General features: G+C 38.4%; 1 long non-coding RNA gene across 1 annotated transcript in view; it reads left to right on the top strand.

Annotated features, from left to right (window-relative positions):
* LOC124902662 (uncharacterized) overlaps positions 1-9,538 on the top strand; it is a 46,307-nt gene extending 36,769 nt beyond the window's left edge. Inside the window, exon 2 of the long non-coding RNA XR_007062656.1 lies at positions 9,436-9,538. This is a non-coding gene — a long non-coding RNA (uncharacterized LOC124902662). The remainder of the gene's footprint in view (positions 1-9,435) is intronic.

Genomic DNA, 19,843 nt, shown 5'->3' with positions numbered 1-19,843 from the left:
ATTCTGAGCAAAAGGAATAAAGCTGGAGGCATCACACTACTGCATTTCAAAATATACTACACAGCCATAGTAAATACAACAGCATGGTACTGGCATAAAAACAGACACATAGAGTAATGGAATATAATAAGAGAACCCAGAAGTAAATCTACATGTTCACAGCCAACAGCTTTTCAGCAAAGGTACCAAGGACATTTACTGGGGAAGGGACATCCTCTAATAAATGGTACTAGGAAAACTGAATAACCAGCCGCAGTAAAATGAAACTAGACCCCTACTTCTCACCATACTCAAAAATCAAATCGAGATGGTTTAAAGACTTAATGTAAGAAAACAAACTATGAAACTACTAGAAGAAAACAGGGGTAGAGCTTCAGGCTCTTCATCTGGGCAAAGACCAGTCTTTATGGAGAAGACCTCAAAAGCACAGGTGACAGAAGCAAAAATAGACAAATGGGATTATATGAAACTAAAAAGTTCTGCACAGCAAAGGAAACAATCAACAGTGAGAATACAACCTGCAGAATGGGAGAAAATGTTTGCAAACTACTCATCTGACAAGGGATTAATATCCAGAATATATGAGGAATTCATACCACTCAACAGAAATGAAGAAAATACAGTTGGCCCTTTAACAACACAGGTTTGAACTGCATGGGTCCACTTATATGTAGATTTTTCTTACACCTCTTGTCACCGCTGAGACAGTAAGACCATTCCTGACTCTTCCTCCTCCTCCTCCTCCTCTACCTCCTCCTCCTTCTCTTACTCCTCCTCTGACTACTCAATGTGAAGATGATGAGTATAAAGACCTTTATGATGATCCAATTCTACTTAGTGAATAGTACATATATTTTCTCTTTCTTACAATTTTCTTTATAACATTTTCTTTTATTGAGCTTACTTTATTTTAAGAATACAGCATATATTACATATAACAGATAAAATAGGTGTTAATCGACTGCTTATGTTATTGGTAAGGCTTCCAGTCAATAGTAGGTTACTAGGAGTTAAGTTTTTGGATAACTAAAAGTTATACTCAAATTTTCAGCTGTGTGGGGCTCAGCACACTTAATGCCCATGTTGTTCAACGGTCAATGTAATCCACTTAAAAAGTGGGCAAATGAACTCAGTATACATGTCTCAAAAGAAGACATATAAATGGCCATCAGGTATATGAAAAAAGTGCTCAACCTCACTAGGCTACTAACCATGTTGCTGGGCCCCCAGACTCCTAAAATCTCTACATTTTGTCTGGCTTCAAGGTGAAAAGGGAAGTTCTGGCAGTGTTACACAAACTATTAATAAATTCTTGGCTCTCAGGTGCTGGTTATCTACTCTCCAATAACAGTATCCTGTTTCTATATATAATAGATTCTGAGATGTTACAAGATGTACATTTGAAATTGATAAAAGTTTCTTTCAACATTTATACAGTCTATTGGTTACTTTTTAGCTAAAGCACAATTTTGGACTGACTCTGGGTTGGTTTGGGTTCTTGAGATACAAGGAACTGAGAGCCACAACTCATTGTATTTGAATAAAAATATTAGTTGATTTACATTTAATCAGAATCAACCATAATAATAACAGCAATAGTAATGACAGCTAAATATATAAAGCGCTCAGTATGTGCCAGTCACAATGTCAGGTGTTTACATATATTATGTCATTTAATCCTCACTATAACCCTACAAGGTAGGTAATACTACTATCTCATTTTCCAGGTAAGAAAACTGAAGCCTTTATGATTGGGTTTAACAAGCTTCCCAGTTGTCATAATACAGTCATCCTTCAGTATCTGTGGGAAATTGGTTCCAGGACCCCTCCAGATACCAAAATCCATGGATGCCTAAGTACCTTATATTAAATCTCATAGACTATGTGTATAAACTATGCACATTCTCCTGTGTTCTTTAAATCATCTCTGGATTACTTATAATACCTAATACAATGCTTAACATTACTTCATTCATGTGGACTCAATGTGGTACTCAGCATGTGGCCAATTTAAGTTTTGCTTTTTGGAAGTTTGTGGTATTTCTTTGAATATTTTCAATCCATAACTAGTTGAATTCATGGATGTGAAACCCACATATATGGAGGGCTGACTGTGTTGAGTTTCCATTCAATTTACTGAAGGCAGAAGAATCTTGAATGATAGCAATGGCAAAAGCTACTATGCGTAGTGTATTTCCTATGCTATACATGTATGAAGTGCTTTACATATTGTTTTATTTAATAATCCTTACAACAATCCTATGAAATAAATGTTATTTATTTATTTATTCTATAGAGATGAGGTCCCATTATATAGCCCAGGCTGGTCTCGAACTCCTGGACTCAGCCTCCCAAAGTGTTGGGATTATAGGCAGGAGCCACCATGCCTGGCCTGAAATAAATCTTTTTTTTTTTGAGACGGAGTCTCGCTCTGTTGCTCAGGCTGGAGTGCAGTGGTGTGATTTCTGCTCACTGCAAGCTCTGCTTCCTGGGTTCATGCCATTCTCCTGCCTCAGCCTCCCAAGTAGCTGGGGCCACAGGCGCCTGCCACCACGCCCGGCTAATTTTTTGTATTTTTAGTAGAGACGGGGTTTCACTGTGTTAGCCAGGATGGTCTCGATCTCCTGACCTCGTGATCCTCCCACCTTGGCCTGAAATAAATCTTAATACCATTTCCAGATGAAAGAAATTGGGGCCCAGAGAGGTCAAATAACTTGGTCATTAGCATATAGCTTAGAAGAGCCATGGCTAATATTCAAATTTAAGTCTTTCTGACTTCAAGTCCAAGACTCATTAAACTAGCCATGCCACGCTGAACTTATACCATGAAGATGCTTCCAATTACAGCATGCAGTTCTTTATAATATGGAATACTGATAGTGGATTTTCTTTAGGGTTTTATGATCCAGCAATATTTTCTTAAAAATGAAATTCACTGGAGCTAAAGATTCTTTTTATATATCCATTGTATCTTTTGATTGCCACAGTATGAAAGGTCATACTTAGCTAAACATGGGGAAATATTAGATATGACCTAATTTGCTTAATAATTCCATTTAGTGCTCAGAAGGCACAAAACACACACATACAGAATCCAGCAAGAAAGAATAAAGAATCCTCAAAAGGGACAAATGAAGACAGTCAAATGTGGAATTTTACAAATGTGATAAACACTTATTAGAAAAATGAAACTTAGACAGATGTGCCCTTAGACTAATGGAACAAAACTCCTTGAAAACCTCAGTGGTAGGCATGACTGTAAAAGAACACCAAAGGAGTAAAAGTAATATACAAAGGGGACTAAACAAAATGTTTTGTATGTAAAATCCACTGCATTCCTTAAATACTTAAGAGCCTTATGATCTAAATGTGAAAATATCTTCAGGTAAGTTGATAAAAGTTCCTTGAAAAATGCAGAAGAAAACGAGACCTAAAAATAGGAACTTTCTTAAAATGGGCTGAAACTATCATATCAATTTTGAAAAGCTTGTCTGATACTAAGAATTTTAGGCTGATGTGCTATATGAGGATTGGCTTCAGGTGAATTTATCAGCTTCCTTCTTGCTTTTCAATCTCTTAAATTTGTACCCTTGTCCCCATTCACATTGCCACTGCCTGTGTTAAAAACACTCGTTATTCTTAGAGCTATAGCCTACATGTGGCTTCTTCATCTCTTATCTATCGTCCTCAACATAAAGAGAGATTTTTAACAACATGAAGGATAGGTACAGTACTACCTTCCTTCAACTCTTGGAGTGGTTTCCCATTACCTTCATGATAAAGTCAGCCTCGTTAGCTCAGCAAATGTCAGAATCAAAATGGAGTCGCTTGTGTTAAAAACAAAATAAAACAAAACAAAAAAACCAAACCCTGACAAATACAGCCAGGGAAGGCTATGAAGAGAGGGTTCTCACACTTGTATGACTAATAGCAAAACTGTAACAAAAGACTGCAAAAATCACAACGTTGCATAAAGGCCACTGCAACCTTACACAAAAAATACTTGTGCAAGGACATCTGCCCAGCAACTGTTTGTCCAACCTCAGACTGGTGTCACCCTTGTTATTGATCCTTTTAGCCAAGGATAATCATTTCAAAAAAATTATGCAGTCTTCTTTATTTTTTCCTTAAAACTCTTTGTCTTCCATCTACCTCCCTGAATACACACTTAGTTTACTATGGCAACTGTATTCCAATTGCAATGTGCTGTTTCTGAAGTTTCTGAATAAACATCACTTTCTTTTAAAGAACCTCTCCCTGCTTATTATTTACATTGATATATAATTTCCCTTCTCCTGGCCTGCCTTTTCCCTACAGGCAACTTCAGTCTACTGTTACGGACTTCTACTTTCACTGCAAAGATACACAGTCAGCCTTCCATAGCTGTGGGTTCCGCATCCATGGATTCAACCAGTTACAGATTGAAAATATTAGAGAAAAACAATAAAAATACAACAATAAAAAGAGAATACAAATAAAACAACATAGTATAACAACTATTTACATTGCATTTACATTCTATTAGGTATTATAGGTAATCTAGCGATGATCTAAACTATATGGGAGAATGTGCATAGATGATATGCACATTCCATGCCATTTTATAAGTAACTTGAACACTCATGAATTTTCTTATTGGGGTGGGTGATCCTGGAACCAATTTCCCATGGATATTGAGGGATGACTGTACCACATACTCTTGAGGGGGAGGTAAAAAGAGCAGATCCTGAAACCAATTTCCCATGGATATTGAGGGATGACTGTACCACATACTCTAGACGGGGAGGTTAAAAGAGCAGATCCTGAATAAATTACAGCAATGTATTGTAAATGTATCACTAGGCTCTAAGGGTTAAAAGACAAAAGTGAACTAAAATCTGACTAGTGTACCGTTCCTGAAATAATTATTAATGTCATCTGTGTTTTATTCTCTAATGTGATCTAGTTTGGACAATAAACTAAATGATCATTTTATTAATAGGCTATAGTGTCAACAGCTGTTTTATAACCAGACAACAATGATCACCAGCTTGCCAGCTTCTGATTGCTACCCAGCCAGCTCTAAATTTATAGTTTTATTATTCCAATACTCTACTTCGGATACAAAATTTTATGTCAATTAGGAAACAGATCAGGACTCATGCAGGCTTAAATAATAATGATACTTCGTTGATAGGCACAGCTGGAAGTCCTAGACACTTTTGGTTGATCCAGGAATTTAATGCTGTCTTTAGGACCACTTTCTTTCTTTCTCTTTTTTCATTCTGCCCTATATTATATCAGCTTTATCCCAAACTGAGCCTCCCACTTGATAGCAAAAAGGCTGCAGCAATTCTAGGCTTTGCATTTATCAGCACACAAGGCCTCCATTCCAGCATTCCAAGCAAGCATCCTGAAATTTCACCTTAATAGACTCATTTAGGTCACATGCCCTCCCTAATCCAATATTCTGGCTAAGATAATAGGATGTGCTGATTGGCATGAGTAAATTGGGGTTTAGTCTTGGAGCTGGAGTGAGGTCAGCCTTCCCAAGGTACGTGGGCTGTAAGGAGATTTAATCTGGAAAAAGGAAGAAAAAGAATAGATGTTGGGTAGAGAACTAGCAAGTTTGCAGTCCACAATAGAAGCCTTGATGTGCATAGCAATCAAACCCAATGTAAAACTTGAGAGGGGATTATACTAAAGAACTTTTAATTTGCAGCTATTTGGTCCAAAGAGAGGAGTTTGGGAGCCAATGTGGTGGGAAAATGTAAAGAGCTTTTATTCTGTTCATAAAGCCAAACCAATCTGAGTCTTGAACCAGGTGATGAACCTCTTAATTGGATTTGAACCTTTGCCAAGATAATTACTCTTTGACTGCTATTTTTCCTTATCTGAAGCTTGGGATAATTTCCCTATCTTATACAGTTTTGTGAGAAATATGTGATTACACACACAGAGTGCCCAGCATAGTCCCTGGCACAGAGTAGAGAATAAATCTAAATTCTGTTTTAGTTTCTCATCACTAAATTGACTCTGAAATCATCAGCATGAAGACTTTTCCTTTAGTGGTCATTTAGTCCACTTGTCAAGCTATGGCAGCTCCTTTGAGCCTCCTTATAGAATGGGGGAGCTGCACTGCGAAGTAACTTGGTATCTTACTCTCAGCCTCCCCTCTTTGAATAGTGGGAAAAAATCTGATTCATTTAAATTTCCAACAAGTGTAGAATTATTTTTACAGCAATAATAAACAAACACTGAGTTGCCCCCCAAATCCTGCTGACCTAGATTCATTTTCCTCTCACCCCAGGAAGCTTCAACCACTGAATTTGGCCCAAGTGTTGATCCTTTCCTGATGCCTCAGGACACTACAGCTATTTATTCATTTCTCACCAAGACCAGAAGCTATTTTGCTCCAGGGGAGACCATTAGCTCATTTGCATTAAGGATCCAGACTTTAAGCCAAGAATTACAAGGTCATAAGGCCGGGGAGCACCAGCAAGATATTTGATTTATTTTTGATTCTTGCTTTCAACACCTGGGCTTGACAACGTTTACATTCCTTGCTACCCTTTATCCCCAGCCTAACATCATCTGATTAGTCAGCCTAGATATGCAGGAAATAGCAGCATAAACAATGCTTCAGTGAACCCCTCCAAGCAGATAAGACTATGAACAATTCATCAGCTTGCAGTGGCTCTCTTTTCCCTGGTGGTCCCACCAAGGGTTTTAAGTGACTAAGCTCAGGGGAAGCCCTTTCCCCGGGATAATTTGTCTTCCTTCAGCTCCACCGAATTAGCACTTTTATTTCATTGTACCCTTGGGTTACAGTGGTTATTAAGTTATAAACTAAGCAAATTATTACTGAAGGTCAGCAGCAGATTATTCTGAAACCCCCAACACTATAGAAATGGGGCTCAAATCATTAGGGAAGTTTAGTCTTTGGCTTCATGATTGGGGAGATATTCATTATTTTTTTAATTTTCAAAAAAAATTATATTTCTGATCATAAGGATTATTAAAATGGATGTTCACATATCAAACAATACAGAGAATTATAATGAAGAAAAGCAACAATAATTTTAAACCCCAACATCTAGAGACAATCCGTGATAACATTTTGCTGTCTATGCTACAGCCCTCTTTCTCCCTCTCTCTTTTATTTTGCATAAATGGAATTATATTAGAAATGTAAGCTAACAATCACAGGGTATATCTTCTCTGCCCATATAATCCATATCATCATTTTCATGACTATGCAGCATTGTGTTGCATTTGTATGCCAGATTTATTTATCCAATCTTCTGCTGATGATCACTCAGTTATTTCCAAATTGTCCCTATTAGCAGTACCACTGCAGTGGATGACCTTAAACACTTTTGTGTACCTATCAGCTTATTTCTTTAGGATACATTTCTAAAAGTAGAATTGCTAGGCACATCACAAATCTTTGATACTCAAATGTATCACTGATTCTCAAACAATATCACAATTTACTTATTGGCTAATGATACCTGAAAGTAAGCCAGAAAGTCTTTTAAAAGAAATCCATTGGGCTGGGCACGGTGGGTGGCTCACGCCTATAATCCCAGCACTTTGGGAGGCCAAGGCTGGCAGATCACCTGAGGTCAGGAGCTCGAGACCAGCCTGATCAATATGGTGAAACCCTGTCTCTACTAAAAATACAGAAAGATTAGCTGGGTGTCATGGCGTGTGCCTGTAGTCCCAGCTACTCGGGAGGCTGAGACAGGAGAATTGTTTGAACCCGGGAGGCTGAGGTCGCACACCACTGCATTCCAGCCTGGACAACAAAGCAAGACTCAATCATAAAACGAAGAAACAAAAAAGAAATCCATTGAGGGGATGGGCTTAAAAACAAGGTCTTAAAAACAAGCAAACTAGTATGGGCTACTGGCACCCTATTCCAAAAATCAACCTTAAAGAAGCTATAGAATTGAGAATCCAGGGTGCTAGGAATGAACACAAGAAGCCCTTGAAGGCTATTTTGGATGGTGAATGTTGAAGGTGAGTGGCTGTGGCTAGAGGAAATCTTTAGGGACATTTAGCTCTTGCCTCTTTCTCCCGCTGCCTTAGGACAATCAGTGCCTAATTGTTCTAGTGCTAGGCTACTGGTGTTAGTGACCACCTTGCTGAGGTTGATGGCAAGAGGTATGGACTGACTATTCCTAGGCATTCACTCCTGCACTTCTCCTAGATCCACGGACTAGTATATTGCAAACTAGGGATATGCCTCCTCCCCACACTGCTTCTTCCTAAAGAAGGGTTTAAAAGTGAAAGCCTGGCAAGAGGAGTTGCCTGGGTAGGTGTTGCCAAAAAGGAGTGATGGCTCTGTGGATGTCAAGATTCTCTGTCCTGGGACTCACTCTTGTCTCTCCTTATTCTTTATGCTATGGACAAAGATAGGGCCTGATCTTTGAACCTTTTTCAGTACAATGGCAAGACAAGCGGGTTGAACTCCTAGGGGAAGCTGAGCTGATAAGCTGAAAATAACCAGACACTAGAGAAGTACAATTTCCTCAAAAGAGAGATGATACAAAACTGGTTAACATTTCCCATCTGGAGCAAAAGGGTTAGAACAGATGAAAAGATAATTTAACATAAACATGATAGATATACTTAAGAAAATAAGGGAAGATATTAGCAATCAGAAAACAGAACAAAGTAAAAATATTAGATTTAAAAAGTAGTTAAAAAAGGGAAAATGCCACTTCCTTTTATAGCAGAACATGGATATAAATCTATTCTGAAGATTTTAAGGAGTAGGAAGGGGATGAACCCCAGGGAAGAAAATCCAAGGACCACAGAACCACTTCCTTTTACTGGCTCCTTGCCAGACAATTTATACACCATTCCCCATTAGAAGTATTTTTAAGTGAGTCAAATTTTCACTAACTCTTAAATATATCTTTGACTAAATTTGGAGACAAGTTGGTTTGTCTTATTCTCTCCCCTCTGCTGAATTTATTATTAATACTGTATAATTTCACCTTGATTAGTGAAATGGTTTGGCTGTGTCCCCACCCAAATCTCATCTTGAATTCCCACCTGTTGTGGGAGGGAGCCAGTGGGAGGTAATTAAATCATAGGGGCAGGTCTTTCCCATGCTGTTCTTGTGATAATGAATACGTCTCATGAGATCTGATAGTTTTATAAAGGGGAGTTTCCTTGCAGAAGTTCTCTTCTCTTGTCTGCTGCCACATGAGACATGCCTTTCACCTTCTGCCATGACTGTGAGGCCTCCCTAGCTACATGCAACTGTAAGTCCACTAAACCTCTTTCTTTTGTAAATTGCCCAGTCTCAGGTATATCTTTATCAGCCATGTGAAAACAGACTATTCAGATATACTTTACACCTTGTAATTGTTTTATATATGTTTTATCTTAGTTAACTTATTGCATTGGTAAACAAGATAATGTCTATCTTATCTATTACAGGTGCTGTTATTTATTCCATCCAGCCACACAACATCTATTTGGTGAGTGCCTGTTACAGAAGGAACTGGTAAAGATGAAAAAGAAATAAAACATGTCTTCTGCCCTTAGGGAATTATAATCTAGTGAAGGAGTTAGACACACAGTGAATATGTCATGGTGATGTGGCAGTCAAGGTCACACTGTTGGCTATTGGCAAAGTTGACTTGTAAAAAAAAAGTAATTCAAAAGCTGTTGGAACTTTAAGTTACTTTGAGCCTTAAAGGAATGTGATTATGGGACCTGAGTCACATGACAGGCACCTGTAACCTAGGCAGCTGTTATCTTTGTTCTCTGATTACAGATTAGGCTTTTTTTTTTTTAACCTACATTGTTTTGTAAAATGTAAAAGACTAAAGGGCACAAGGGAAGACCTAGACCCATTCTCTTTTCACTGTTGATATTCATTATAGATTAACTTTCCTCTTAATTCTCCTACACAAAGACCTCATGACTATCACATTGTCTGGGATAAACGTTGAATATAGTTTCTTTAATTGGAAAATGAAAAGGAAACAAGCTGTACCTAATCTAATTGCTGTAACTCATAAACCAGCCTTCTATGGAAAATGTTGTAATCCTGTTACATTTGTTTTTTGCCTGTATAAGCAAGACCTTAACTTTTCAGCATTGGAGCACTGATCCAATTCCTTTGGAATCTGTATTACCTGGATGGCTATTCTCAGCTTTGCAGTTGAACGAACTCTTTTAAGCTGGATTCTGATGTTTTTGATTTCAGGTTGACAGACTCAAATATGGGATATTTTGACCATTAAATTTTGTTTTTTTCCCGGGTGTACAGTGCGTCATATGTGTGTTTCATGAAAGATATATATATTTATGTATTTTCCATAATGTGTAACTCAAGAGCAAAAGCTTAAATATGTTTATTGCTTATCTAACCAACTGTAGCCTCCATAAAAGCTCTTCAAGTCTTATGTTAGCAGTCTTTCAAAGTTCTGTGCACATGCAGAGGGTTATTCTGCTGCAGGAGTTTCAAAACCAATGGAGTGATCTTCAAATTCCTTGAACAGATTCAGTGCTCTAAAATGTCCATGTATAGTAACAATATATTGAGTTCAAGATCATATGCAATTTAGCTGCAAAATCATAATAAAGTCTTAATATATTCATAGGGTATGTGTGGTAGCTGAATTTCTGCAGATTGACAGTTGCTACTCTTTGAAACCTGGGAGTTGGAGGGGGATTACCTCCGGTTGAGAAAGATACTTTCCTACTTTGAGATTTGGGGAAAATTAGGGATTATTCGTCTCTGCTGTTTTCTTGTTGGTTCATCTTTATTTGAATTCCCCAAAGTAATTAGCTTTATAGGATATTGCTAGGCCCTTCTTCCACATTTTCCCAGCATATCCATGAATATCTGAAACAAAAGACAGTCTTATCTTGTTGCCATATTAAGTTCAATTATTATATGGCACTATGTAATACATATATTTTGTAACATGTCAGATTATATCTTTTTGCAAACCTTTCACACATACTGTGGTTGGAGTTGTCTTTTTCCCATTTATTTCATGTCCAGCTCATCATCCCATCCTTCAGATATCAGTTTAGATGCTACCTCACACCTCAACATTGTTCTCAATCTTGATGCTTATTCATTCATCCTTTTAAAAAATACATGTGTGGATACCTCAACTGCTACATATCAGGTACAGTTAACTGCTAAGTGGTAGGATACAGTGAAAGGAAAAAGCAGAAGAGATTCTTGCCCTCTTGGAGCTTGCAGTGAGGAGAGGGAGGAAGACCTTAAGCAAGTGATCACACAAAGTAATGTAAATTGCCATTGTGACAATTGCAACTGTGCAAAAGGAGGAGGTGTCCCGTATTATGATAACTTATTAGTCTAACTTCATCAGATTGAATAGGTACGACTTCCCTGAAAAGATGGGGCCAGCATCCTGTTTTTTAACTTCATGGCTGTTAGAGGTTGAATTGTTCCCTCCCACCTCGAATTCATATGCTGAAGTTCTAACGTGCAGTACCTTAGTTGTATTTGGAGATAGGGCCTTTAAAGAGGTAATTACGGTAAAATAAGGTCATATGGGTGGACCCTAATCCAGTGTGACTGCTGCCCTTATCAGAAGAGAAGATCAGGAAACAGAAAACACATAGATAAAGGGAGAGCCATGTGAGGACGCAGTGAGAAGGTGGCATCTGCAAACCAAGGAGAGAGGTCTCAGGAAATACCAAATCTGCTGACACTTTGATCTTGGACTTCTGGTCTGCAGAATTGTGAGAAAATAAATTGTTGTTTAAGCCACCCAGTCTGTGACATTTTATTATGGCAGCCCTGGAAAACCAATACAGTGGCACTCAGACCTTTTAAATTATTTTATTTTTTTTGTTGTTTGACTTGTTTGTCTGTTTCCTCTATAGCTTAGAGAACTGAATCTGTTTTCTTTGTTGTATTTCATCATGTAGCACAGTGCCAAACATAATATTTGCTCAATAAATATTCGTTGGATGTTGACAAAAAGCACTCAGTATGTCCATCTCATATATCATTGGGAATTCCTGGTTGAATTCAAAATCGGGTTTTGAATGCCCACTTCCTTCCACAAGCCACATGGAAACTGTGTTCTGCTTGTGAAATCTTGGGGTATGTGCTTCTCTTGGTTATGTTGCCTGAATTTCCTCAAACTCAAATGAAAATACTCACCTCACACTTTTTCTTGGAGAGGAAACATCTGAATGAATCTCCCTCAGGGTGGGTTATTTATTCCTTCTCCGGTTTTTGCACACAGCACATTCTGCATTTTTTGATTCAACATATTTTTGGATCCATCTACCTTTCTGATAGATCCCAGTAGAGCTGCTGTTTCTTCACTTCTGCCAGCTCCATTCCCCTATCAGTGCTGTGGTCTGCTCTACTTGCTTCCCTCCCCAGGAGTCCACAGGCCACACGCAGTGCCTCCAGTTGTCACATCTGCTTTCCCCTTGGGGTTCTTTATCTGAGGGCTGCTAGCAGTTTTCACATAGAAAAAGGAAACATTTCCTTTCTCAGTAGGATGCCATTTCTCCCCCTTTCTCCTTCTGAGTATCTTGGACTGGTTAAAAATGAGAGTCTTGAAATCTGCTACTTATTAGGATCGTGAATTTGGGAAATTTCTGTAATCTCTTTAATCTTAAGTTTGCTTCTCTTCATAAGGAAGTGATAATTTTATGAATTAAAAGAGATGGAAAATGCCCAGTAAATTTAACAAATGATGATGGTAATTATATCTTGTTCTTTTAAAATATTTTTTATCATGGAAAATTTCCAACATCTCTAGTCTATATAAAGAAGTAATATAATGAAGCCCCATGTAACTCTCAGTCATATGGCTAGTCTTGCTTTGCATATACCCTCAGATGATGACATACTTAACTATCAATAGAAAATTGTTTTCAGCCTCCTTTGAAAGCCCTCTTTTCCTCCAATTAATCTGCCAAAGCCTTTTTCTATGGCTCTCTGAAACATTTGGATTTGAGATTTTTGACTTACTTACTTTAACCTTGCACTTGAAATGTAAACACAATAAAACTTGACTCATTGGGATTAATTGGAAGAAAGAGGTTGGAATGTAATTTAGTAAAATCATGTCAGTGTGAGTTCTCTGAGTCCAAGCCTGCAGGTATACATCTGGATGGCCTGAGGCAACTGAAGAACCACAAAAGAAGTGAAAATGGCCAGTTCCTGCCTTAACTGATGACATTACCTTGTGAAATTCCTTCTCCCAGTCAATGAGTCTCAGAAGCTCCCCCACCAAGCACCTTGTGACCCCTGCCCTTGTCCGCCAGAGAACAACCCCCTTTGACTGTAATTTTCCACTACCTATCCAAATACTATAAAACTGCCTCACCCATGTCTTCCTTTGCTGACTCCTTTTTTGGACTCAGTCTGCCTGCACTCAGGTGATTAAATAGCTTTATTGCTCACATAAAGCCTGTTTGGTGGTCTTTTCACACGGACTTGTGTGACAGTCAGCCATTTAAAGGAATTGTACTTTTATTATTTTTAAAGTCTTATAGTAATTCAAATTAAACCAACTATTGGGAAGCTGAGATCTTTTGGGATCCATTTTGATGACTATAAGGATATTTACATAAATACCTTAATTGTTTATAAACATATATGTGTGAAAAGCTTGTTTTTCTTAAATGAGGTGTTTAAATATTTTGCTTGAAATTTATGTTGTAAACAAATGTTCCCATCTTAAATTTTCAGAAATATAGAACCAATGGGGTGAATCAAGATAAAATTGCAATTCATTCACTTAACAGTTATAAAAAGTCATGATAATTTCTACCATTTAATTAGCATCAGCATGTTTTAGAACTTAACATAATCTTATTTCATTAAAATATTCACAATCATTGTTGCCATTATCTTGATTTTACAAATGAGGTAGAGGTTAAGTAATTTGCCCATGTTTATACAACTAATAAGAGGAAGAACTGAAATTTGAACTAGTTCTCCTTAACTTCAAAGTCCACATCCTTTCTCTGTGCTTTGCTTCAACCTTATAGTAAAGACAAACTCACAGGTGGCTATTATCAAACATAGTGAGAGCTCTGGGAGAGATAAGTACAAAGCTTTATGGTATCATATAGGAAGGCAGAGCAGGGTACCACTAACTGAGCACAAGGATGCGGGTGAAGGCTTCACAGAGAGAAGCAAATGGGCCTTGAAGGATGCTTAGAAAAAAATTAAAACAGTCTGTTCAGTGAAAAGTAAGCAAGTGTTTTTGTGGGGTCAGAGATGTTCTTCAAAAAAGTACGTAGGGTAGAGTCGATAGAAGCCTGGACCCTGGGTTAAAAACCCAGCTCTGTCACACACAAGCTTGTGAAGTCCTTTAACTTCTATCAACTTAAGTTTTTTCATGTGTAAGATGAAAATATCTCATAGGCATTACAAGGATTAAGTTAAGGGAGATGATGTATTTAAAGCATTTAGCACACTGCCTGGCACATTTTGCTTATTATTTCTCACTATGGAAAAAAAATTACAGCACTTTTTCATCAATGATCGGATAAAAGATTTTCTTAAGAATTGGTTGTGTTCCTTTGGGTATATATCCAGTAATGGGATTGCTGGGTCAAATGGTATTTCTGGTTCTAGGTTTTTGAGGAATCACCACACTCTCTTCCACAATGGTTGAACTAATTTACATTCCCATCAACAGTGTAAAAGCATTCCTATTTCCCTGTAGCCTCACCAGCATCTGTTGTTTCTTGACTTTGTAATAATTGCCATTCTGACTGGTGTAGGATGGTATCTCATTGTGGTTTTGATTTGCATTTCTCTAATGATCAGTGATGTTGAGCTTTTTTTCATATGTTTGTTGGCTGCATAAATGTCTTCTTTTGAGAAGTGTCTGTTCATGTCCTTTGCCCACTTTTTAATGGGCTTGTTTTTTTTTCTTGTAAAATTGTTTAAGTTCCTTGTAGACTCTGGATATTAAGATCTTAATGCCAGATCTTTTGCCAGTAAACAGGTTGCCTGTTTACTCTGAAGATAGTTTCTTTTGCTGTGCAGAAGCTCTTTAGTTTAATTAGATACGATTTGTCAATTTTGGTATTGCTTTTGATGTTTTTGTTTTGAAATCTTTGCCTGTGCTTGTATCCTGAATAGGCATGCCTATGGTATTGTGTAGATTTTCTTCTAGGGTTTTTGTAGTTTTGGGCTTTACATTTACGTCTTTAAATCCATCTTGAGTTAATACGTATATAAGGTATAAGGAAAGGGCCCAGTTTCAATTTTCTGCACATGGTTAGCCAGTTCTCCTAGCACCATTTATTAAATAGGAAGTAATTTCCCCATTGCTTGTTTTTGTCAGGTTTATTGAAGATCAGATGGCGGTAGATGTGCAGTTTTATTTCTGAGTTCTCTATTCTGTTCCATTGGTCTGTGTGTCTGTTTTTGTACTAGTATCATGCTGCTTTGGTTACTGTAGCCTTGTAGTATAGTTTGAAGTTGGGTAGCATGATGCCTCCAGCTTTGTTCTTTTTGCTTAGGATTGCCTTGGCTATTCAAGCTGCCTTTTGGTTCTATATGAATTTTAAAATAGTTTGTTTTCTAATTCTGTGAAGAATGTCAATGGTAGTTTAATAGGAATAGCACTGAATCTATAAATTACTTTGGGCAGTATGGCTATTTTCACGACATTGATTCTTCTTGTCCAAGAACATGGAATGCTTTTCCATTTGCCTATGTCTTGTCTGATTGATTTCCTTGAGCAGTGGTTTGTAGTTCTCCTTCAAGAGCCCTTCACTTCCCTTGTTAGCTCTATTCCTAGGTATTTTATTCTCTTTGTAGCTATTGTAAATTGGAGTTCACTCATGATTTGGTTCTCCACTTGTCTGTTGTTGATGTATAGAAATGCTTGTGATTTTTGTAATTGATTTTGTATCCTGAGACTCTGATGAAGTTGCTTGTCAGCTTAAGAAGCTTTTGGGCTGAGATGATAGGGTTTTCTAGAATAGGATCATGTCATCTGCAAATAGAGACAATTTGACAGCCTCTCTTCCTATTTGAATACCCTTTACTTCTTTCTCTTGCCTGATTGCCCTGGCCAGAACTTCCAATACTATGTTGAATAGAAGTGGTGAGATAGGGCATCCTTGTCTTGTGCTGGTTTTCAAGGGGAATGCTTCCAGGTTTTGCCCATTCAGTATGATATTGGCTGGGTTTGTCATAAATGACTCTTATTATAAAATACTCTACTCAACATGCATTATACAATATACCTTTGTAGCAAATCTGAACATGTACCCTCTGATTTTAAAATAAAAGTTTAAAAAGTAAAATGAAAGTTAAAAGTAAAATTAAAGTTAAAAACGATGTTAATATTTACCTATTGAATTTATTCTTTAGGTGTATCATACTCAAAACCCATTTTAAATGTAAGGTGGTAGTGGAGGTTCAAGGAACTTCCTTAAGTTCATGTGGAAGACTAAATTCTTCGGAATGGGCATGAAAATTTGAAAACGAAGATTGAGAGTACTCAAACCTCCTATAATTAATAAAGTACTGCAAAGTGACCAAAAAAAAAAAAAAGAAAAAGAATTGGTCATGATCTTAAAACACAACCTGTTTACTATACTTCTGTCTGTTTCATCCATCTTTAAAATGTTGTTGGTTTTCCCATCCAGACCTTTGTTGAGGGCAGAGTCCCAATGGACATGTGATATTTTCTTTTTTTTTTTTTTTCCTTTTAGAATTCCTCCAGACCACTGCCTTTTTGCTGTCTCAGAGAAGAAGCTTTTCATTCTTGACTTCCCTAGTCCCCTGGCCCTCCCACCCTAAGCTATTCTTGGTATGCTTCTGTGGTTCAAGCTTGGTCTCCCTCTGAGTTGATGTTTGGCATTTCCTCTCTGTGCCTGTGCACTAGACACCTGGCTGTGCATGCGTGCTTCCACCACAGCCACCCTATTAGGAGTAGGGATCAGACAACCTCAAAGCAATGCTGGGAGAGAATACTGGCCTTAGGTTTTCTCTGAGGACTTGTTCATTATATTCTCTTTTCTTGCCTATTTTTTTCAAACTTTCTCTCTACATCCTTCTCCACAGCCCAGAAACATAATCTAGTCAGGTTTTAAAAAATTGTCCATTGACCCTCCCTGCACACACGTCTAGGTACCTTTAATAAACTCTCTTTTCTTTCACATAAAACATCTACGAAGCCATGGTCTAGAATTGCTGGCCAACTTACCATTCACTTGTTAATCTTTGTAATGAATTTTATTCTTTACATCTGCTGGAATACTCCATCACCACCTCCTCCCTTCTTCACTCTCCTTGACACCTATGTATCATGTATTTAGCTTTCAAGATTCTATCAAGTACCATCCTCTTTATGAATTATTTCCTAAACTTACACAGATGGAATTGTGAAATATTCTTACCAGAACTTGGATCAACGATAGCACACAAATTTCAACTTGAATGCTACCTTTAATCAATTGTTTGTGGCTCAGTGTTTTAATGTGTTGAGAAGGATTCTGAGGTCACATCTGGGACCTCTTGGGAGGAATATTACGATTAATTAGTAAAATCTTTTCTGGAATAGGAGGTGGAAGGATAGTATGTGAGCCACATGCTAACCATTTCTGTTTTTCATAAAGAGGCCTCTGTCATAGCAACTATGTAACAGTTGTACTCATTTGTTATTTATTTATTTAACTGACAAATAATAATTATATGCATTTATTGTGTGCGATGTGGGGTTTTGATCATTGTAGAAAGATTACATGAAACTAGTTAACATATCCTTCACCTCACCAACCTATCATTTGCATGTTTATCTTATTATACAGATGTGAGTCCCAGAGTAGGCCTCTGGTTTTTCCACCTCAGCAACATGCATAACCTTTTAGCTTTTCATAACCCTTCAACTTTTGCTGAGTTAATGAATGTGTTCTTGCCTCTGATATTCTTGAGGTAAGTTACTCTTTCTCTGTCTTTAGTTTGCACAATCCCAAGTTTTGATGCCTCCTAGAGAAGTGGTTGTCAAACCATTTTTACTGCAGGAACCGTACCCAAATGAAATCTCATGCAGGTTTTTGTAAAACACAAAAAGAGTTCTTGTTTTGGCTGAAAGAGTTAAAAGATGGTCCTAAGTCTTGCTATCTTTGGGCTCCTCAAACCTGTGGCCCCCTGAACTGCCTGGCATCAGAGCAGTGGTTCTGAAAGAGTGGTCTGTGGACCCAGCAACATCAGCATCAGCATCACCTGATGCTGGTGAAACTTGCTGGAAATGCAGTCTCCTCTCTACCCTAGATGTACTAATTCAGAATTTCTGGGAGTTGGGACCAGGGACCTGTGTTTCAATAACCTTTCAGGTGATTCTCAGCCACTCTGAAGTTTGAGAACCACGGAAGGAAAGCTCCTGGGGGCTTCCTTCAGACATCAATGTGCAAAGGAAGGCCCTCTGGCTCCCTATGAAATGCTATTTTTCATTGGTCCATTGTGAAAATAGTCTCGAAACAGCAAGTGCCAACCAGTGCTATTAAACCATAGGTCTTGGATATGCCCAATGGCTATTCACCCCTGTTTAAGAATTGGCCAAGCAGAACTGCAAGGCGCAGACTCAGTGCTACAGTCAAGGTGAGTTGTGAGAGGAACCTCTGGAGCTGCAGCTGCGAAGCCGGAAGCGGAACTTCTGCCCCCCAGCGCCACTGCCATGGACCGTTGCCTGTCACCTCCTGATTTTCACTTCAGTGATTCTTACAGCAACAGAAGGTGGAGGCTGTGTTTATATTGGAGGGAGGAGGCTGTGTTTATATTGAAGGAAATGGAAGTTACCATCGCGGTTTCATTAAAACGGAATTGTTTTCCTTTTAGTCTTTCTGACTGGCTATGAACTCTTTTCCTACGTCCACTTAAAAGACCATGGGAGAGCTCTGACTGGCACATTATCAGAAGAGCAGAAAATGCAACAGATTGAAGCCCCCAAATCCTCCTGCTTCAAGGCTCCCCACAAAGCAGATGATTGCTTGAAAGATTTCCCTGAGATTTTAGCTTAGATACCTCGAGAGCATTTCTGCTTCCTGAAGTATGAGAGGTAGGATGTTAGCAAGAAGGAGGAGGAAAAATGGAGACAAAGTCACAAGGAAGATAATATTTTGAGAGAGGTCCTTAGCTGGTGGGAGCAGTAATTGAGGACTAGCAGAAGCCTCTCCAGAAAAGCAGAGGCCCCAGCAAGTTGGCATCAGTGGAAGCCAAAATGTAGAAAGAATAAGCTCCTCCAAATGAGTGCCAGAAACCTGTGATAAGTGCCTTCCATTGCGTGGAAAGTGTAGGATAATTGTCTGTGTGGCCTTGGATGGACCCAGTTCTCCTGCCTTTTTTTGCTTGTAGTGTTTGAAAGTAACTCTAGAAGCCTGAGATAGGGAGGAACTGCCCAAAAAACCCTAGGCCTTGTTCCTGTCCCTCCTAGGGAATGTATCATCTTGAGTTAGGGAGAAACTGCCCAGGTAAGCCCTAGCTTTGTTCTTCCTCCCCCTGGAAGCAGGATATCCTTTAGAGCTTTGCCCAGTGAGTCCTTTTGGCCGTGAGATATCTAACCAGGGTGGGCTGCTTTTCCAGGTGCCTTGGCTGTGTTGCAAGTGGGGCATGTGCAGTTGAGACTCCACCTGCCCTGAGCAGCTTTCTTGAGCCACAGGGACCTGCTTACATGGATTTTAAGTTTCTTTTGTTCCTTGCTGCTTATCTATAAGTAACAAATCTGCTTCATGTAACATGTTGCATGTAAGTATGTTCTGTCTCCCAGGACTCACACAAATTGGCAGCCAATGCATAGTGACAACTGCTCCAAAGAAATGATACAGGAAGCTTGCTTGAGGCCACAATAAGCTCAAGCCAGTA

The sequence above is a fragment of the Homo sapiens genome, chromosome 11, assembly GCF_000001405.40.
Source record: "Homo sapiens chromosome 11, GRCh38.p14 Primary Assembly".
NCBI classification, from domain to species: domain Eukaryota; kingdom Metazoa; phylum Chordata; class Mammalia; order Primates; family Hominidae; genus Homo; species Homo sapiens.
The sequence above is the reverse complement of the archived record's forward strand: the minus strand, read 5'-3'. Positions and strand labels throughout refer to the sequence as shown.